We start from the raw sequence: 1,247 nt of genomic DNA, 5'->3' as shown, positions 1-1,247 counted from the left end.
AATTCTGTTTTATTTATTCTTTGTTTATTTTATTACAGTAAAAAGATGACGTTTATAACCTCACAAATTACATCCCTTTATATTCGTGATGCGTAGGAGTTTTTCTTTTCTTTTCTGTTTTTTTTTTTTTTTTTTTTTTTTGTTAAGTCTTACAAAGCAAGGTGTAAAGAAAAACGGCCTGCCATTCAAGAAACGAATACAAAGAGAAAGGTGCTCTGAAGAATGGAAACATAAATAAATGCAAAATAAATCAGTGAAATGCATCTATACCCATGTGTTTTTAACATATTAAATTATATATAATTTTAAATTCTTCAAATCTGTAACTTAGAGATGACAAATGTTTTCAAATTTACTATATTTTTCCAGCATGGAATGATGCTCAGGTTTATGCTTTTCTTAGTTTCCCTTGGTATTTTTTCTCTAAACATGATAATATTTCGGTGTTCTTGTAATACATAGTTTGATCTCCACTAGTCAAATAAGAAGTAAAATTAATTAGACAATAATTAAACGCTGTCAAATAAGTTAAGTCAGACTTAACTTAAATATGAAACTTAAATATGACCCAGAGATTATGTCAGATTAAAATAATAGATTTGCTAAAATAAACATAATAATCACATTTTTAAGCAATCTGAAAAATTACAGGCTTGTAAAGCTGCCAAGACAAAAATTTGGCTCTAGATCTTCTCATCATTCCATAGCTCATGCAGTTGTAAGCCATTCTCTATAGTATAAACATTATTTTAACTGCAATGAGCCCAATACAGAAATTATATGGAAAGGGGTGTGAAGAGTCAGGATATAAAGTATTTGCATAGATTTGCATCACTTACACATTCAAAAAAATTTTACTCACCAGCCAAATTCAGTTTAACAGACTATTGCTTTTGGATTCAGCTTCCAGTTTCTAACTGCAACACTTGCTTAGGAGACCCTTGTATCATTTACTCTTATAAGTACTTTTGTTTCTTTTTCTGCATGCATGTCACAATCAAATGCCCTAGTTTTGGGGAAAATATTTGCTTAGTGTCTATTTTCTTCCCCTAAACTAGTAAGTTCCACAAGGGCAACATCATTGTCAACTTTTCCCCTATATTTCCCAGTGCCCTGTTCAGAACAGAGCATATAGTAGGTGTTCAGTAAATATTTTTAAATGAACAAATGAATACATGAGACATGTCATCAGCTTTCTCAGAAGAAGCAAAAAGAAGATCATCCAACTGCTTAATTTAAGTCCTTTT

This window comes from Homo sapiens, chromosome 5 (genome assembly GCF_000001405.40).
Source record: "Homo sapiens chromosome 5, GRCh38.p14 Primary Assembly".
In the NCBI taxonomy this organism is placed as follows: Eukaryota; Metazoa; Chordata; class Mammalia; order Primates; family Hominidae; genus Homo; species Homo sapiens.
Note: the sequence above shows the minus strand (reverse complement) of the source record.